Raw genomic sequence first — 3,129 nt, forward strand, 5'->3', positions numbered from 1 at the left:
TGAAGTTGTTTGGGTTTTTGCACATTCCCCAGCATTTCAAAGATTTTAAAAAGTTGAAGCAACTTAGGCCATGGAAGTTAAGCAAATCATACAAGCTCAGACCATTTGTTACTCAAATCCAAGGCTCCAGACTTCTGCTTGGGTGTGTCATTGCACTTCTTTAGGAAACCAATAGTTTATAACCTGGACATAGTAAAAATGTGTAATTGTAATCCTAGCCCTGTAGATATAAAGCTAGGTTAAATTTAAAGCAAAGTTCATTCGAAGTAAAAATAGACTTTAAAAGTCAGGTGTTCTAAGCCTTCATGGTAGATTATTGTTTTTCTAAATTCTAGTTTTCTATTTTATAAAACTAGAATCATAGTAACAATATATCACTGTATCATAATATTATTTGTAAAGCACATCGATTAGGAGTCCTCATAAAAAGTCCTTTGAATTATCTATGAAAAAGGTCTATAATGTTATCTAACTTATAATTTTATGTCAGAATTTTTTTTTATTCTTTTCTGTTCGTTCTTACTCTTGGTGGCATGATTAGGGTTGTTTCAGTAGCAATTGGCTATTCTTTTATGACCAGCAGAGTTAGGAAAGAGTACAAGAGAAAAATAGCTGACATAAGAATCAAGCATCTTTAAGTAAAGTAAGAATTCTACGCCACTTCAATTTTTCAGAAAAAAAAATGCTAACAAGTGATTTATATATTCTGCATTGGTAATTGTTATTGTTTTATTTTATATTATTTATGTTTTTCTTAATTTAAGACTCTTTTACTTCTGCAGGTATGTTTTCTTTAAATAAAGCATCGATTTTGGGAGTTCTTGTTTTCTTCAGATTAAAATCTAAAAATGGTCTTTATTCTGTAATTTTAGTTTTTCTCAGTACCTGAAAAAATTAAATCCAAATTTTATATTTCAGCAATCATTCTTACCTGCAGTTTACAATAAAGTGTGAATACTCTTTATTTGTTTGTTTGTGTTAGTTATTAGACACAACCTTAAAAATCATACGGGAGATTGGCTTTCAGTATTTACATTCAACTAATTTTGAAGAATACAGGAATCCATGCCCATCCCTATAGATTGTGATTTAATTTATTTCTATCCAGGCATAGGTACTTTACAAAAGCTCACAAGTCATTGCAATGTGTAGCTAGGAATGAGAACCATTAATGCAGTACAAACCTTCATTAATGAAATAAGACGAAGAAATTCAAGTTTACTGACATTTTGTACTTTCTCAAAGCAGTCAGCTAGTGCCAGGACCCAGCCCTCCAGTCACTTATTCTATGTTCCTATCTCCCCAAAACAGAATGCAGGAGGAGCCTGTGACTTATTTCTCAAGCATTTCCCAGTAACTTGAACAATATCAGGCACATCAAAAGTACTCAGTAAAACACTTGCTAAATGTTGAAGGAATAAATAATTAAATGAATGTCAGATGGCTCCCCATGTCTCATTTATTCTGTAACTTCATTGAAATAATACTTGTTGCTGAGTGTTGAGACAAGAGTGTCAAGCTTGGTAGAAGCCCAACATCCGCTCATAGATACTAGTAATGTTGTCACATTTTTAAGTAATAGAAGAATTTCCAATTAGCTAAGGAAGTAGAAAAAGAGTGGAAATTTACAATGAAAGGAGGTCAGTATAACATTGAAGGTAGTGCTGAAAGGAGAGGAGTGAGTTTTCTGAACATTTTGGATCCCAGAAAAGATGCTGTAACAGTTTCCATGACCAAATATATAAATGGAATAAATTTATCAATCTGAGTATCAAGAATTCAAAAAGGAAGGCACTCAAGGCTCTCAGGGACCAAGGCCTGTCTATTGTGACTGCTAATCCAAGTGAGTTTGGGTTAAAAGGGGTTAACAGCCCTCTGCTGTAACACATGATTGGTCTTTATGAGGTTGAAGCTCTTGTCTGTTTGAGGCCTACAGATGATGCTAAAGAGCCAATAATGACAGCAATTCAAAGCAATCTAATTATGCAAACGGGAGGCTAAACAATTTCATCATCCTTAAATTAGATTGTCCTAATGAGATAAAGACACCAATTAATCCTGAATTAATTTCAATAGCCTATTTCAGGCAAACACTTTAATATGCAAATGTAAATGAGAAACAAAGCCTACTGTAGAATGCCAGAGTTCAGAACCTCTCTCTTCGCAGCTGCAGCGGGTGTAAATAGTGCCTAATGAGTTTGCATGGAAAGACACAACCAGCCGAAAATTTTAGACTTCATAAAGCACAGCCGGTGCCTCAGGTATACTGGATGTGGTCTGGAGCCAGACATGAAAGGAGGGGGGATTTTGCAGGAGAATGTTATGGTAAGGTAGGTGCACTTTGCTGGAGTCATACATACCATTCTCTAAGCAAAAACAAGGCAGTCCATCCAGCTCAGCGCTCAACTGTGCGATGTGTGCATGTGTGTGTTTGCATGCGTGTAATTGTGTGTGTATATATGTGTGGTGAAGGGGAGATGGAGAAGAGAAATAGTGAAGTGAGGGGAGGTAAGAGGGACGGTGTGAACACACTTTTTAATGAGTTGATATTTAGAGAGCCAAGTTGTCATAACATACATCTGGACAGAAGTCTCTTCTGGACATAAAGTTGGTTTTTAATTAGTGACAACTTAATCATTTTAAATTAGCCATTCCCGACCCATTTAATATTTCTAAATAATTAATTTCCTAAATAAGACATGGGAACTGATTCAAAATCTTAGGAGCTTATGCTGAATTCAAAGGTCTGTGATTTTAATGATATCTGGTTGGGGGACTCTTGAATGGGCTAATTCCTTTTCTAACTACCAAAATATCCCCACAGGTAATAAGCTGGATAATAGTCTCGTCCTTCTAGAAAAGAAAGTGATAGCCGATATTGGGAGTGAATCCAAATCGAAATAAAAAGAAAGAGAATAGTACCCTTCAAGGCTGTCAACATTAACCTAAACAGTCTGGGTTCAGTTTAAGTGAATAAGAAAAATTGGTGATCAATTTCCTTATTATTATGACACTAAGGGTACAAAATAATGCCTGGAATTGCCGTATAAAATATAGAATACTGATGCAATATTTTGGACATACTTATGCTAAAATATAGTTGTTGTTTATCTGAAATTTAAATTTAGC

General features: G+C 34.8%; 1 annotated feature.

Annotated features, from left to right (window-relative positions):
- Positions 1,857–2,358: an enhancer, noted in NCBI's record as "NANOG hESC enhancer chr1:164023584-164024085 (GRCh37/hg19 assembly coordinates)". NCBI's record gives its function as "activates a minimal SCP1, AML or CMV promoter by ChIP-STARR-seq in primed H9 embryonic stem cells {active_cell/tissue: H9 hESC(primed)}" and the evidence as "EXISTENCE:reporter gene assay evidence [ECO:0000049][PMID:30033119]".

The sequence above is a fragment of the Homo sapiens genome, chromosome 1 (genome assembly GCF_000001405.40).
Source record: "Homo sapiens chromosome 1, GRCh38.p14 Primary Assembly".
Classification (NCBI taxonomy): Eukaryota; Metazoa; Chordata; class Mammalia; order Primates; family Hominidae; genus Homo; species Homo sapiens.